General features: G+C 53.9%; 1 long non-coding RNA gene and 1 pseudogene across 1 annotated transcript, besides 5 other annotated features; one reads left to right on the forward strand and one right to left on the reverse strand.

The window, feature by feature from the left end:
• RPL36AP45 (ribosomal protein L36a pseudogene 45) lies at positions 3,913–4,278 on the reverse strand (annotated as a pseudogene).
• Positions 5,418–5,919: an enhancer, noted in NCBI's record as "H3K4me1 hESC enhancer chr15:75480455-75480956 (GRCh37/hg19 assembly coordinates)". NCBI's record gives its function as "activates a minimal SCP1, AML or CMV promoter by ChIP-STARR-seq in naive H9 embryonic stem cells {active_cell/tissue: H9 hESC(naive)}" and the evidence as "EXISTENCE:reporter gene assay evidence [ECO:0000049][PMID:30033119]".
• Positions 5,920–6,419: an enhancer, noted in NCBI's record as "H3K4me1 hESC enhancer chr15:75480957-75481456 (GRCh37/hg19 assembly coordinates)". NCBI's record gives its function as "activates a minimal SCP1, AML or CMV promoter by ChIP-STARR-seq in primed H9 embryonic stem cells {active_cell/tissue: H9 hESC(primed)}" and the evidence as "EXISTENCE:reporter gene assay evidence [ECO:0000049][PMID:30033119]".
• Positions 9,175–9,877: an enhancer, noted in NCBI's record as "H3K4me1 hESC enhancer chr15:75484212-75484914 (GRCh37/hg19 assembly coordinates)". NCBI's record gives its function as "activates a minimal SCP1, AML or CMV promoter by ChIP-STARR-seq in primed H9 embryonic stem cells {active_cell/tissue: H9 hESC(primed)}" and the evidence as "EXISTENCE:reporter gene assay evidence [ECO:0000049][PMID:30033119]".
• Positions 12,600–13,144: an enhancer, noted in NCBI's record as "H3K4me1 hESC enhancer chr15:75487637-75488181 (GRCh37/hg19 assembly coordinates)". NCBI's record gives its function as "activates a minimal SCP1, AML or CMV promoter by ChIP-STARR-seq in primed H9 embryonic stem cells {active_cell/tissue: H9 hESC(primed)}" and the evidence as "EXISTENCE:reporter gene assay evidence [ECO:0000049][PMID:30033119]".
• LOC107984772 (uncharacterized) lies at positions 12,977–15,044 on the forward strand. The gene is made up of 2 exons (XR_001751617.2): positions 12,977–13,039; positions 14,342–15,044. It is a non-coding gene; the product is annotated as an uncharacterized LOC107984772 (long non-coding RNA).
• Positions 13,413–13,472: an enhancer, noted in NCBI's record as "active region_9839". NCBI's record gives its function as "activates an Ori minimal core promoter by ATAC-STARR-seq in GM12878 lymphoblastoid cells {active_cell/tissue: GM12878}" and the evidence as "EXISTENCE:reporter gene assay evidence [ECO:0000049][PMID:35858748]".
• Positions 15,045–15,793: the final 749 nt, after the last annotated feature.

Consider the following 15,793-nt stretch of genomic DNA (forward strand, 5'->3'; position numbering starts at 1 on the left):
CGTGCTGAGACAGTCAGTGCTAAGGGGTGAGGGGGCATGAAGCCTGGGGAGGACCGGGCCTGGAGGCCATGGGCACTGGGCAAGTTGCTGAGTGGGGAGTTGGCCTGGAGAAACATAAGCCCCTTTGCCATCCTCAGAGTCACTAGGGGCGCCAGATTCCTGCCAGGCACAGGATGTCCAGCCAGAGTAGCATCTAGCTCCTGAAATCCAGCACATGCTCTCCTCCCAAGTCAGGTGTCCTGGCCCGGGGCTCTGTCTGCAGAGAGTGGTGCCTTTGGGCTGGCAGTGGTCCTGCATGGATCCTCTGCTGAAAGCTAAGGACCTTGGGTCCCAGGCACAGGGCAGGCCCTGGGCTACTGCTCTAGACTTCCTGAGTCAGAGAAAGCCCCGCTGGACCTCCCAAGGCCTCATCCTGGCACCTGAGTCAGCCTCCTCCCTCTTTCTGAGCCACCCTCGGCTGACCTCCCCCAGCCAGCCTGCCTCTAAAAGTGGGGCTTCATAGGGACATTGTAATGGGGGAGCAGACTCCAGGTCTAGTTCATTTATTTATCCATCCTTTCCTGTTGTTTATATTGACCTGTATGCCAGATACATAGGTTTTCTTTTTCTTTTTTTCATTGCACTCAGGCTGGAGTGCAATGCCATGATCTTGGCTCACTGCAACCTCCGCCTCCTGGGTTCCAGAGATTCTCCCGCCTCAGCCTCCTGAGTAGTTGGGATTACAGGCACCTGCCACCACACCCAGCTAATTTTTGTATTTTTAGTAGAGAGGGGGTTTCACCATGTTGGTCAGGCTGGTCTCAATCTCCTGACCTCAGGTGATCCACTCACCTTGGCCTCCCAAAGTGCTGAGATTATAGGTACGAACCACTGCACCCGACTGATACATAGGTTTTCTAATTTAGTCCTACAATACACCAAAACATAGGTTGTGTTTTTGTTTTTTTGAGACAGGGTCTTGCCGTGTTGCTTAGACTGGAGTGCAGTAGCATGATCACAGCTCACTGCAGCCTTGACCTCCCAGGCTCAAGTGATCCTCCAACCTCAGCCTCCTGAATAGCTGGGACCATAGGTGTATGCCACCGCACCCAGGTAATTTTTAAAATTTTTGTACAGATAGGGTCTCACTATATTGCCCGGGCTGGTCTCAAACTCCTGGGCTCAAGAAGTCCTCCTGTCTCCCAAAGTGCTGGAATTATAGGCATGAACCACTGCACCCGAATGGTATTTTTATTCTTTTCTTTTTTTTTTTTTTTTTTGAGACAGAGTCTTGCTCTGTCGCCCAGGTTGGAGTGCAGTGGCATGATCTCGGCTCACTGCAACCTCTACCTCCTGGGTTCACACCATTCTTTTGCCTCAGCCTCCGGAGTAGCTGGGACTACAGGCGCCCGCAACCATGCCCGGCTAATTTTTTTCTATTTTTTTCTAGTAGAGACGGGGTTTCACCATGTTAGCCAGAATGGTCTTGATCTCCTGACCTCGTGATCCACCCACCTCAGCCTCCCAAAGTGCTGGGATTACAGGCGTGAGCCACCGTGCCCAGCCGGCATTTTTATTCTTAAATTACAGATGAGGAAACTGAGGGGCCAGGGGTAGCTGGGACACAAGTCCTGTCTGAATTGTGCTGGTCTTCCAGCTTGGTGGGGTGGGATGGAGGCAGCCTGGGCTGGGGACCTGAAAGCAGAAGAGGGGATGAAGGGAACTGGGTAGGCTTGTGGACCACAGGCCCACATGGGAGCCACACCCTGGCAAGAGAGGGGATTGTGAAAGAGAAGGCAGGTGGGGTTCAGGACAAAGATGGGAAAATGGGGGCAGGGAGCAAGAGACCCTCCAGGCCTTGCAGATGCAGGAGTTGAGCAGGTAGAGGATAGATGGGGTGGAAGGGAGGTGGGTGCCCAACAGGGATGACCCTGCAGGTGAGGTCCCGGGCAGTAAGCGATGAAACTACTTTGAGTGGGGGCAGCCCACCCAATACCTCCTCCTCTGGGCTAAAGAGGAGGGAGGGGAACTAGCTGGGCGATCTGTGCATTCAGCCATCCCTAGGGGCTGTCCAGGGGCACTTGTCCCCAGAGAGGAAGGCCAGCTCTGTCTTTGGAGGATGAGAGTGAGTAAGCAGACAAGCACCGTGCTAGTTGCGTTTCATTCAAGATCTTCCCACCACACCCAGTAAGAAAGGCATGACACTAGGAGTTTGAAACCAGCCTGGGCAACAGAGCGAGACCTTGTCTCTACAAAAAATTTTTAAAAATTAGCCAGGTGTGGTGGCACATGCCTATAGTTTCTTTTTTTTTTTTTTTTTTTTTTTTTTCTGAGACGGAGTCTCGCTCTGTCGCCCAGGCTGGAATGCAGTGGCGCGATCTTGGCTCACTGCAAGGTCCGCCTCCAGGGTTCACGCCATTCTTCCACTTCAGCCTCCCAAGTAGCTGGGACCACAGGCACCCGCCACCACGGCTGGCTAATTTTTTGTATTTTTAGTAGAGACGGGGTTTCACCATGTTAGCCAGGATGGTCTCGATCTCCTGAGCTCGTGATCTGCCCACCTCGGCCTCCCAAAGTGCTGGGATTACAGGCATGAGCCACCGCGCCTGGCCAATGCCTGTAGTTTCAGTTACTTGGGAGGCTGAAGTGGGAGGATCACTTGAGCCCAGGAGTTCAAGGCTGCAGTGAGCCATGGTGGCACCACCACCTCCAGCCTGGGTGACAGAATGAGACCCTGTCTCTAAAGAAAAAAAAAAGGCATGACAGCCCCATTTTAGAGATGAGAAAACTTTGGCCAGCCATGTCCAATGGCCTGCCTGAGGTCACAGAGTTAGGCTGGAGTGCAGCCAGGATGCAAACTTGCCTTTGCTAGTCTGGTGAAAGAGCTAGGTATAAATAGAAACCCCAAAGCAGTGGGTGCCAGGCACAGGACTGGAGGCTATGAGGGGAGCAGGGGTGACTGAATACCCCCACCCCAATACTACCCCCAAGGCATCTGCTTATTCTGGACCCAGAAGGAGAGGCTGGGGGCATTTCTAGGTATCCTGTGGATACCACAGAGGTTATGCACACTCTGGCATAGTAAGCCAGGCAGAGTGGTCTGAGGGAAGGGAGTGGGGATGGGGGAGGGGGTAGAAGAGAAGGTAGGGAAGGAAGTGGGAGGAGGGACTGAGGGGGAGATGGAGAACGGGCGGGGGAAGGAGGGAAGGGAGGGAGGGAGAGGTGGAGGGGAAGGGAGGAAGAGGGGGAGGGGGAGGGAGGGAAGTAAGGAAGGAAGGAAAGAGGGAGGGAGGGAAAGAAGGAAGTGGGGAGGGAGGGAGGGAGGGAGGGAAGGTTGGTTGCCGGCCATGGTTGCACGTGTGTGCCTGGCTGGTTCTGTGTCCCTCTGTGTGTGTGCATGCATGTGTTCGCATGTGCATGTGTACATGAGTGCAACAGTTTTTTCTCCTTGGTCCTCTAAGCTCCTGTGAGTCCTGCCGGGCCAGGAAGTCTCCATTTGGGGCATGGCATTGGGATCCCAGTCAATAGCCCTAGACTTGTCCACTGGCATTGGGGGTGGGCAGGAGGGTTGGACAGGCAATGGGGAGGGGTAGGAGCAGTGAAGCCTTCAGGCTTGGGGTGGCTGGGAGGGGCAGTGAATGCCCCAGGCAGGCCTATACTCTGGGGGGCTTTCTTGGTTGTTCCAGGCCAGACAGTCCCCAACACGCATGTGTATTCCAGGCTGCACGGACCAGCTGGGATCCTTCCCCACCCCTTAGGCTTACTTTCTCCAGAAGCACTGGGCATTGCTGTGCCCATTCTGCACTGGGTTCTTCATATTCACAGTCAGTTGATCTGCCTGATTATCCCTTGATGTGGTTAATGCTTATCCTCATTTTTTTTTTTAAAGAATATCACTGTATTTATTTTCCTACAGGTAATTTTTCTATGGCTTCAGCATTTTCTCTTCAAATCAAAAGAAAAATTTCCCAAAGTTTAGAACTGGATCACTTGGCCCTTTCTCTTATCTCCTTCCAGTTCAAAATGCTTGCATCTCTTAATGGCCAGCATCCTCTTGGATCTGCAGTTAGGCTCAACACATTCCAGCCTTAGCACAACCTTCTTTGTGGTCTTAGCCTTCTTCCAGAAAATTGGCTATGTCTGCCCACCATGGCTACTCTGCTTCCGATCATAGCACCTCTTTCCCTGGGCATACAAGGAATCCTTGCTCTTCTTATACTGTGTCACTTTGTGAGGCTGATGCTTGCCACACTTCTTACCGAAGGCTCTTCGGGTTTTAGGTACATTGACCATCTTTGCAGCACGGCTGTTCTGTCTATATGATGAAAACAAGAAACAGCGTCTGAGACCCTTACCTCGCACAGCTCTCCCCTAACAGGAAAGGGCCTTCTTTTTTTTTTTTTTTAATTTTTTTTTTGAGACAGAGTCTCCCTCTGTTACCCAGGCTGGAGTGCAGTGGCACAATCTCAGCTCACTGCAACCTCCACCTCCTGGCTTCAAATGATTCTCTTGCCTTAGTCTCCAGAGTAGCTGGGACTACAGGCACGCACCATCATGCCCTGCTAAGTTTTATATTTTTAGTAGAGACGGGCACTCCATGTTGGCCAGGCTGGTCTCGAACTCCTACCTCAGGTAATCCACCCACCTTGGCCTCCCAAAGTGCTAGGATTACAGGTGTGAGCCACCACGCCCGGCCATCCTCATTTTTTTTTTTTTTTTTTTTTTGAGACAGTGTCTTGCTCTGTTGCCCTAGCTGGAGTACAGTGGTGTGATCATGGCTCACTGCAGCCTTGACTTCCTGGGCTCAATGATCCTCCCATCTCAGTCTCCTGAGCTGGGACCACAGGCACATGCCACTACCATGCCCAGTTAATTTTTTTTTTTTTTTTTTTGCCAGGGGGAGATGGGGGTCTTGCTATGTTGCCTAGGCTGGCCTTGAACTCCTAGGCTCAGGCAATCCTCCCACCTCGGCCTCCCAAAGTGCTAGGATTACAGGTGAAAGCCACCTTGCCTGGCCTTATCCTTTTTTTTTTTTTTTTTTTTTTTTGAGACGGAGTCTCGCTCTGTCGCCCAGGCTGGAGTGCAGTAGTGCAATCTTGGCTCTCCGCAAGCTCCGCCTCCTGAGTTCACGCCATTCTCCTGCCTCAGCCTACCAAGTAGCTGGGACTACAGGCGTGAGCCAACACACCCGGCTAATTTTTTGTATTTTTAGTAGAGACGGGATTTCACTGTGTTAGCCAGGATGGTCTCCATCTCCTGACCTCGCCTGATCCGCCCGCCTCGGCCTCCCAAAATGCTAGGATTACAGGGGTGAGCCACCGTGCCCGGCCCTCATTTTTTATATCTGTGTAAACTGAGCCCCAGAGAGATGAAGTGACTTGCCTATGGCAGCACAGCTAAGAAGTAGCAGAAGCAGGATTTGAACCCAGGAAGACAGGGCACCAATCTCAGCCCCCAGCCCCTTCAGCATAGAGTGAGGGTCCCCTGCCTTCTACTCCACCCTACCCTCCCAGCCTCAGGAGCACATTCACAAGTACAGGTTGGGCCCCTCTTCTGTTCTGTGAGGCCTGTATCAATTTGTCATGGGGTGGAGAGCCCAGCTCCCTGGTGGAATCACATCAGGTCATAGTGACAGAGTCCTGGCTCCCCAGGGACTGACTCCCAGCCACAGCACTGGGAGCTGGGATAGCACTCTACCCCACTGAACCTGCAGCACAGGGCCAGCCAGTCATGGAGCCCCTCAAATCCATTGGTGCACTGGGGGCCAGAGGGCTTGCAGGAGTGGATGAGAGGTGGCTCAGCCTTCAGTAGGCCCTGGCTGAGAAATAAAGAGGCTGTTCATGAGCGCAGATGTGGTTCTGGTCGGCTGGGCCCCAGGGATCCTGAGCAGGCCTTTCTTGTCTGAACCCAAATCTACTTCTTGGGTTTGTCAGCATTCCCTACCACCACCCTCAGCCCCACAGCCTGGCCGAGCAGTGGGCGCAGTCTCTCAACTTGCCCTGAATGCCTTCGCAGGCCTCTTGCCTTCAGGAGTTGCATGCTGCACCTTCTGGAAACAAACAGGGACCATGATACCAGGCGGGGCTAGGCTGCCACTCCTGCCCTCCCACTGGCTGCAGTCAGATGTCAGCACATGGCACTGGGGGTGTGGGTCACAGGAAGGCCCTGTGGGCCTCTGGAAGGTTCTGCTCAGAAGAAACATCATGGGCAAGGAGGTCTGTGCAGGGGCTGCAGGGGCTGCAGTCACCCCTCCGATTGCCTGTTACAGATGGGGAGCTGTGGAGGTTTCTGTGTCCCTTCCTTTTAACTAAACAACCCCAGCTGGACACGGTGGTTCACACCTGTAATCCCAGTACTTTGGGAGGCCGAGGCAGGTGGATCACCTGAGATCAGGAGTTCGAGGCAAGCCTGACCAATATGGTGAAACCCTGTCTCTACTAAAAATACAAAAAAATTAGCCGGGCAGCTACTTGGGAGGCTGAGACAGGAGAATTGCTTGAACCTGGGAGACAGAGGTTGCAGTGAGCCGAGATCTCACCGCTGCACTCCAAGCTGGGAGACAGAGTGAGACTTTCTCTCAAAAAAAAAAAAAAAAATTGAACAACCCCTTTCCAGGCCTTTTGTCCCCATTAGGAGTGTCCTGTTGTGGTCCCTGGCTACTGCCCCAGACTTAGGTTAGGAATGGGGACAGAACTGGGCCTGGGAGCTGGGATTAGAATGGGCTGGGATTGGGATGAAGATGGTCTAGTCTGGGCTGGGCAGAGCTTGGGATGGGGGTGGGAGGCCTGAAAGCAGAGGGCTTTACTGGAATGACTGTTTATCCCCTGCCCACTCTGCATTGAGCCTGTCAACCTGAATGATGAGATTCAGGCAATATGATTAAATACTGAGTTTATTGGAGTGCAAAGTTTGAGGAAGGCACAGTCTCCAAAAAAATGGGGTCCAAGGTGCTCTGAAGTGGAGAGATTTGAGGATCATTTATATAGGCAAGGATGTAAACAGGATTACATCATTTTTCATACATAGTTACAGCAATTGATTGGTTAAAGGCAGTGTTTCTTTTTCGGGAAAAGTATATTTGACATTCCACATAAGGATGTAATAGTTAAGGGGTCTTTCATCTCAGTCAAGGGGTCTTCTATCTTAGGGCCATCTGGTCTAAGCCAGGAACAAGGAAGGAAATTAATTTATAACAAAAGTTCAGTAATTAAGAGGTCAAGTTCTGTGACTCAGTCTCCAAAGGCAACCTTCCTCAGAGCCTAGTAACTGTTATTTTTGTTCTTGTTGTTTTGTTTTTGTTTTTGAGACAGGGTCTTGCTCTGTCTCCCAGGCTGGGGTGCAGTGGCGCAATCACGGCTCACTGAAACCCCGACCTCCTGGGCTGGGCTTAAGCAATCCTCCCACCTCAGCCTCCTGAGTAGCTGGAACTACAGGTGTGCATCATCACGCCTGGCTTTTTTTTCTTTCTTTCTTTTTTTGGTATAGAGAAGGTCTCATTATGTTACCCAGGCTGGTCTCAAACTCCTGGGCCTGAGCAATCCTCTAGGTTTGGTCTCCCAAAGTGCTAGGATTACAGGTGTGAGCCACTGCACCTGGCCCCTAATAACTTTTAGAAGCCCTAAACAGATGATCCAGTTCCTTTCACAAGCCTGTGGAAAAATGGCAGACTGAGGAGGTGGTTTTGGCTCTCTGGCCTTCACAGAACTTCTTCCTAGAGAAGGGAAAGCAGACTTCAGCCCCACGTTGTTGGGAACAGGCCCCCAAATCTGGCCATAAACAGGCCCCAAAACTGGCCATAAACAAAATATCTGCAGCACTGTGACATGCTCGTGACGGCCACGATGCCCATGTTGAAGGTTATTGTTTTACCGGAATGAGGGCAAGGAATACCTGGCCCACCCAGAGCGGAAAACCGCTTAAGGCATTACTGAACCACAAACAATAGCATGAGCGATCTGTGCCTTAAGGACATGCTCCTGCTGCAGATAACTAGCTAGACCCATCCCTTTATTACGGCCCATCCCTTTGTTTCCCATATAGGATACTTTTAGTTAATCTATAATCTATAGAAACAATGCTTATCACTCGCTTGCTGTCAATAAATATGTGGGTAAATCTCTGTTCATGGCTCTCAGCTCTGAAGGCTGTGAGTCCCCTGATTTCCCACTCTGCACTCTATATTTTTGTGTGTGAGTCTTTAATTCCTCTAGCGCTGCTGGGTTAGGGTCTCCACGACCAAGCTGGTCTCAGCACCACATCTTCTCAGAGTCCTGCCTGCTTCCTAGGAATTGGCCTGAGGAAGGAGGAACACGGGTTCACTGAGGCTCACTGCCTGCCGGGACTGATCCAGTGGCATTAGAACACTGGGCACCTGACCCTACCACAAACCTGGGGGCACAATTCATCATCCCACAGTCAAAGACCCTGGAGCTCAGAGAGGTTAAGAAGCTTGCTTCAAGTCCCACAGCCAAGAGTGCAAGTTGGGATCTGGGCCTGGATAAGGTGGCTGGTGCTGGTTTTGTCACCAGAGTATCCCTAAGAAGGCAATACTAATCCAAGCAAGGAGACACTAACAGGGGGTGTCAGCACCAGGAGAGTGATGCAGCAGTTTCCCAGCAGTGGGACTTTTCTGGAAGGAGCTGGAGGCCCATTCTGGGGTCAAATGCTGCTGCAGCCAAGCCTCCTCCACAGCTGCAGGGCATTTGCCTGGCTCCTGCTGCTGGGGTTCTAATCTCATGACTGGCCTCGGCTCAGGGTCAGCCCAAGGACACCTCTCAGTCTGGGGGCTGAGGTCAAGGCTGACTTCTGGCCTGTCTGGGTAACCTGCACCTCTCACCTGCACTGTTCACACTGGTTCCCTGGGCCTGACCTGTGTTCCCTTCACCAAGCCCGAGTTATACAGTGTGGACTCCCACCCCCCATCAAGACCCCTCTCCCTGGCCAGTGCTGCTCTATGTCAGGGAGGGAGACAACAGGGGGCTTCCCTGGAATGCTCACCTTCTGCCCTGTGCCACTGCTGCTGGCTTCCCACCACGTTGCTCCGTTGCTCACCACACTACCCACCTCTTGCCATCATCTCCGGAAGCTGGGGGCTATGACCATTCTTGTTCCAATGTTAAAGATGGGGAATCTGAGCTCAGCAAGAGGAAGCCTTGACCTCCCCTTACTCCTGAGCCACTCCACTGTGACACGGTGCCCACACGTCCACTGGCAGCACCTCACCTCTCCTTTCCTTTCTTGGCTGGAGGCTCGCTCTGACCCCACCACACAGGCTGTCCCCTACTCCCCGCTCTCAGCTCTGGCAGCCTTTCTAGCCAGAGCCCATAGTTCGGCCACTTGCAGCCTGACCATGGGCTGGGCTGGGGGGCATTCTACTCTCTTCAAGAGCTGAGGGACTGTCAGGTGAAAGATGGATGCCAGGGACTGAGGGGTCATCAGGGGGTGACGCCCGAGAGAGCCAGGAGGCCCCGGATGGAGGCCTGAAGGGATAAGCCAAGCTTCTTTCTAAATCCCTGGCTGTGCCAAAGCCACCCATGGAGACTTTCCCTTACTGACCTGACCTCAGCTGGATTTGGCATCCTCCTGGCTTCCCCAGCCAGCCAGGGCACACTGACTAGACAGAGATGGCTGAGGAAGGTGTGTGTGGAGCTGACACACGGGCCCCGGAAGTGCTGGAGAAGGCTCGTTCTGGGTGTGGACCCTCTTCTCCCTGCCCCTTACCCAATTCCCTGGGGGATTCTTTTGTTCCCCTGCCCTATGCTGGGGTGCAGGGAGGCCACCTGGGGCCTTGCCAGCCTGGACTTGCCTGAGCTCTGGGCCCTGAGGTCATGGAGACCTCCTGAAACCCTCCCCAGGGGAGCTGTTCGCAGGCAGACAGGCCCAATGAGGTGCTAATTACTGAACTAATTGGAACCTGAGCCATAGATGACCTGGTTGACAGGAGGTGGGGACTGCTGGAGCAGAGGGGGCTGTGGAATAGGGTCTGGAGGGAGGTTGAGGGAGCCCAGAGCTGGTGCAGGGTGGGCTGTGTTTGTTCAGGAATTGTTGATTTATTAGCAAGATCAGCTCTTTGAAATGCGTTCTGGTCTCCTCCATATCTCTCCTGGTCCTGGGTTTCTCTCTGGGAAAAGATTGGTGTTCTGAAGCCACTGCTTGTTGGGAGGGGTTCATCAAGAATTTGGGGGCAGAATGTTCTGCTCTGGGGAGTGACTCGAGCCGGAGGGAGGCCCACGGCCTGTCCTGAGGATTCCAGGCCTGCTGCAGCCAGCAGACGTGGCACTGGGTGGTCTTGGAGATGGGCTGTGAGAACAGAGTGACACCACTGAGCCGGGTCACCTTGGAGGGTTCTGGGACTCACCCCACACCTGGCTCTTTTGGACCTTGGCCTGCTCCTGCCCCTCTGTGAATAGCTGGTAAGGGGCCAGTGACTCTAGAGGCCTCACAAATTGGAGATGACACTGTCTGCTCCCTAAGGGGCAGGGGAGCTAAGGAGTCTACCTTGCTGCATCCAGAAAGGAAAAGCCTAGCACCCTCTCCCCTCTCCGAGACTCCCTTCTTCACAGCCCACCCTTCTGGCACAAGTCATTCTCAGCACCCTGGACCCAGGGAAGACTTTGGCCACATTGGGCCAGACCCCAACTCTCAGCAGGGTAGCATGTGGCTGTCACTCACCCATCTCTAGCCCCATTGGCTCCCCAGGGCTCCTGGCACACTCTGCACTTTCTCTGGTCTTCAGACCTTTGGCTGCCTCCAGCTCTGCCCCCTGGGCTGCTTTCTGCCTAGTCAAGTCCTCTCCACTCCACAGGCAGGCTCCGGGTTCATCTGCATAGCAGCTGAGCAGTGACCTCCTGCCTGATCTTCTGCAGCATCCCCTGCCCCCGCCCCTCCACACTCCACACACGGCCCAGGACCCAGACTGTTGGTTATGAAAGCTGGGAGGCTAACCCCCTGCCTGCTCTGAAGGCTTGTCCTCCTCTCTCCCAGAATGCTCTGAGAACTGAATGAAATGATGGATAAGAGAGGACCGTGGCAGTAACTGTGACAATTGCTCCAATTGTATGAGTGCCTATTTCTGAGCCAGGCATGGTGCTGTGTACTTTCTGCACAGGTCTCATAGCAACCCTCCAGGGCTGGAAGTTTTCCTATCCCCACTTCTCAATGAGGAAACTGAGGCTCAGAGAGGCCAAGCAACTGATTCAAAGTCACACAGTTCCTAAGTGACAGTTTGGGGACTCCAAAGTCACCATCTCTCACAATGGGAAGGGGGTTGTTGTTATTTTTTGGCCAGCCTGCTTCCTTCCCCCTTTCCCCTCCCTCCCTGCCTGCCATCATCTGCCTGGTGAGTTTGCATCACTCCTAGGGCCCAGGGGTCCAATTAGGGGACTCCCCCAGGGAAGCTGACTGAGGCAATCCATGCCCCAAGGGGGCCTCCCTGAGCTGAAGTTTTAATTAGCCATCACTGCTCTCCCTGAAACTCTGACCTGCCCATAGCTCTACCATCCCAGGCTGGCCTTGTGGCAGGAGGCAGAAGGCAGGACTGGCGTTCAACCCAGCTGCGCAGCAGAAGCTGCCCTGGCAGAGCAGAGAGATGTGGCCAGGCTTCCCTCCCACACAGCTCTCTGTATCCACCTCAGCATCACCTCATTTAGTCCAGTAAATGGATTACAAAATAAATGGACTAAGCGACTTCATCCATTAAATAGATTAAATACATTAAATGAGCTAATATTTGTGAAGCATTTAAACAGCGCCCGGTACATAGTAAAGACTAGGAGTGTTTGTTAAATTAAAAAAACAAGTCAGCAAGGATGAGGGGAACAAGGTACCACCCAGGGCCCAGAACTATTCTTGGACATAAAGATGGCACATTCCTGGGTCACTTGGCAATGGTGGGTGGCCCATGTGTGGGCGGTCAGCATCTGTAATCCTGCCCCCTGCAATGTGGGAAGCTTGGGGTGTGGAGGGAGGGAATGGATGGGTATGTGCCAGGCACTGCACTAAGCATTCATGCCCTACAAGCCATCTTAGGAGATGGGTTACCATCCCATTTTTCAGAGGAGGTGGTCAAGGTTCACAGAAGCAATCAACATGTCCACAGCTGGCAAGGTGGCTCATGCCTGTAATCCTAGCACTTTGAGGGGCCAAGTCAGGAGGTTTGCTTGAGGCCAGGAATTTGAGACTGGCCTGGTCAACATGGCAAAACCGCATCTCTACAAAAAAAATAGAAAAATTAGGTGGGCGTGGTGATGCACACCTGTAGTTCCAGCTACTTGGGAGGCTGAGGTGGGAGGATCACTTGAGCCCAGGAGGTGGAGGTTGCAGTGAGCTGAGATCGCACCATTGCACTCCAGCCTGAGCCACAGAGCCAGACTCCATCTCAAAAAAACAAAAAAACAAAACAAAAAAAACCATGTCCAAGAAAGCACAACCATGAGAGGCAGGGCAGGATTTATTGTTTATTATCATTATTATTTTTTGTTTTCTTTCTGTTTATTTGTTTTTGTTTAGGGCAGGATTTAGATCCAAAACCTAAGCCCTGCACACCAGAAAATCCGACTCCTTGTGCCCCTCCCACACCTACTCAGGGCAAGAAGGCCACAGGGCCACACCCCCAGATGCAAAAGGGAGAAGGGTGCCTTTCTCTGCTCCCACTCAGCTTCCCCTCAACCTCCAGGAAACCTGAGGGCTCTGAGTATGGCTGTTTGTGTTGAGGACCCAAAACCCCTTTTCTGGGGCCAGGCTGTGAGTCTAAGGTGAGATGATAACAGGGAGTTTCTGAAGCACTGCACCCCTACTCTGGGGAGCAGGAGGCCTCCTGACCGTGACCCCAGTCTCCCACCCTGCTTGGCTGCTCACCTCCCGCCTCAGCAGCAGCGCCGCTGTGCCAGCCCTGAGCCAGAGCCAAGCCCTCCTTGGACGCGGTTGCCTGGTAACCAGCCCTAAGTGACGGCAACCCCAGCGGGCCGCTAATGAGGGGGCAGCAGCCAACCACCTGGCCAGACCCAGCCGCCTCAGCCAGCCTTAGAAAGGCTTCCACGATAGTCCACCTGGCCTGCCCACGGTAGGAGGGGAGGGTGCCCCAGCACTGGGGGAGGGGACATGGTGGGGCGAGGAGGAGCTGGGTTGGCGGCCCCCCAAAACCTTTGAACTGGGGATCTGGGGGAAGGTGACTCCCGATGAAGGCCAAGTCTTGACCAAAGCGCGGGGCGGGCACTGGGCTGGAGTCAGGGCTGCGGGTAGGGCCCGCCCAGGCCCCAACCACCACCCTGGAAACAGCTGTGATGGCTCTGCCCAGGGCGCCGAGGCCGGGGGAAGGGATCTCCAGGGAGAGGCCCTGGATGGGGAGAGGAGGTGATGAGGGCGGCTGGCAGGAGTCCAGGCTCTGGGTAGGGGAGCAGCTCCTGCAGCACGGGGGGAAATGCATCAGCCCCTCCCCTCTTTGCAGGGGTCCCCCTCCTCTTCTCCTCACACCCCTACCCCAGGCTGATGGCCTCCAAGGAGGGGGCTGCAGGCAGCATGAGGCAGGCAGGTGGAGCTCGGCCAGGTGTTTTTCCATCCTAGGTCTGACAGGGGAGGAGGGGATAGAGAGGCAGTGGCAGAACCAGGAGGAGGCCTGGTGTATGGACTGGACAGGCCTTCAGGAGACCTGGGTTCTGGAGCTGCCTGCCTGAGACCCCAGGCAGGTAGCTGGCCCTCTCTGCGTCTCATTTGCCCCATGTTGAAATAGGGGCTAGAAACAGGCTACTGCTGGTGTCCTGGGTCCTAAGAGGCTGAGACGGGGAGTCCAGGGGCTTTAGGGGAGCTCTGGGCAGCAGAGGTTCCTTCAGGCTCTCATCTCTGGGCCTGGGTAGGTTTTTCTGCCTTTCTTCCCTTTCAGATGTGCATAGCCCTCCTTCACCATTAAACCTTCACTCCATAACTACAGCCTGACTCAGCCCTGTGGTGGGCACTAGAGTCACAGCCCAAGGGCAGACCCAGGCCCCACCCTGGAAGAGGTCCCTCCCCAGTATAAGAGAGAAGCCAGGCTTATAGCCAGGCAATTTCAGCACAGGAAGCTGAGGCTAAAATGGAGGTGAGTTCAAAATGCTCTGGGACCTCAGAAGAGATGACCAAACCCAGCCTGGAGCTCAGGGAAGGCTTCCTGGAGGAGGGATCCCAAGCCGATTTTTTTTTTTGACGGGGGCTGTGTCAGGTCTTGGTTTGTTGCCCAGCCTGAAGTGCAGTGACCTGATCACAGCTTAGTGCAGCCTGAACCTCCTGGGCTCAAGTCATCCTCCCACCTCAGCCTCCCGAGTAGCTGGGACCACAGGTGTGTGCCACCATGCCTGGAAATTTTTTTTATTTGTCCTGCTCTGTTGCCCAGGCCAGTCTTGAACTCCTGGGCTCAAGTGATCCTCCAGCCTCTGCCTTCCAAAGTGTGGGAGGATTTCAGGCATGAGCTACCGTGCCCAGCCTCTGAGCTGAGTCTGAAAGGCCAACAGGAATTAGCAAGGAAAGCCAGACAAGCAGCCAAGGCAGATGGAGAGCATATTCCAAAGTGTGGAGGTGTGACCTGAAAGGAACCTTGGCTGGCTGGGGAGACAATCGGGACAATCAGGAGACATGCCAAAGCCAGACTGGGGAACTGGAACCTGAGGCCACCGAGGAACCACAGGAGACTCCAAGCTAGGAGTGACCGGTTACACACAGGCATTAGAAAGCTCTCTGTGGAGGCAGGCAGGGAATATTTCCTGCTGCCTCCAGCACCAAGCCTCCAATGGCTGGGCTTTGGCACAGCCAGAGTGAGACATCACAGTCCCCCCCTCCCTGAGTCCAAGGCCCAGCAGTCCTGTTCCTGAGGCCTCTCTCCCACTGTGGCAGACCCACCTCCACACAAGCACCCATCTCACTGGAGGCAATGGTCTGTTTGAAGCCTGGGAGACAGCACTGGGACCCATCTACTGCTGTACCCTCAATGCCAGCATAAAACCTGGAGATCCTCAATATGTGACAGAAGGAAGGATGGGAAGGAGAGAAGGAAAATCAGCCCACCCTAGCTGTTAATTAAAGAATGTTCCCCTCCTCTGCAGGAGTCCCTAAATCTTTTTTTTTTTTTTTTTTTTTTTTTGAGATACAGTCTTACTCTGTTGCCCAGGCTAGAGTGCAGAGGCACGATCTCAGCTCACTGCAACCTCTGCCTCCCGGGTTCAAGTTCCTCTGCCTCCTGAGTAGCTGGGATTACAGGCTTGTGCACCATGCCGGCTAATTTTTGTTTTTTAGTAGACATGGGGTTTCCCCATGTTGGCCAGGCTGATCTCAAACTCCTGACCTTAAGTGATCTGTCTGCCTCAGCCTCCCCAAGTGCTGGGATTAAAGGCGTGAGCCACTGCACCTGGCCAGGGTCCCTAAATTATTGTGCATGGTTTGTTGTTGTTGTTGTTGTTGTTTTCCTAGCCAACAGGCCAGCAGATGCAGTCTTCCAGAGGGGCCCAGTGAAAGCCTGCCCCACTTCTCAGTCTTAGGGCCTCCCCTCTGAGCAAGTCTGATTTTCTCTGGAGGTAGTGGGGGGGGGGCTCCTTCGGAGTTTGAGAGGCTCCCACTCCCTGCTCACTGTGGCAAAGCAGCAGGCTGCCCCCACCCCCAGCCTCCCCTGCAGAAGGATGCCCTGATTTCCCAGTACACCTTTGGAAAGTGGCTCACCTCACCCCAATCAGACCCCATGGCCCTGTCCTCCTGCCCAGGTCCTATCCAACCCAGATCCCTACGACGCTCTGAGTCCATGCTGATGGCCACCGACGCAGCCCAGCTTCAGGCTCTGCTTGCTTTAGTGGCAGCG

The sequence above is a fragment of the Homo sapiens genome, chromosome 15 (genome assembly GCF_000001405.40).
Source record: "Homo sapiens chromosome 15, GRCh38.p14 Primary Assembly".
Classification (NCBI taxonomy): domain Eukaryota; kingdom Metazoa; phylum Chordata; class Mammalia; order Primates; family Hominidae; genus Homo; species Homo sapiens.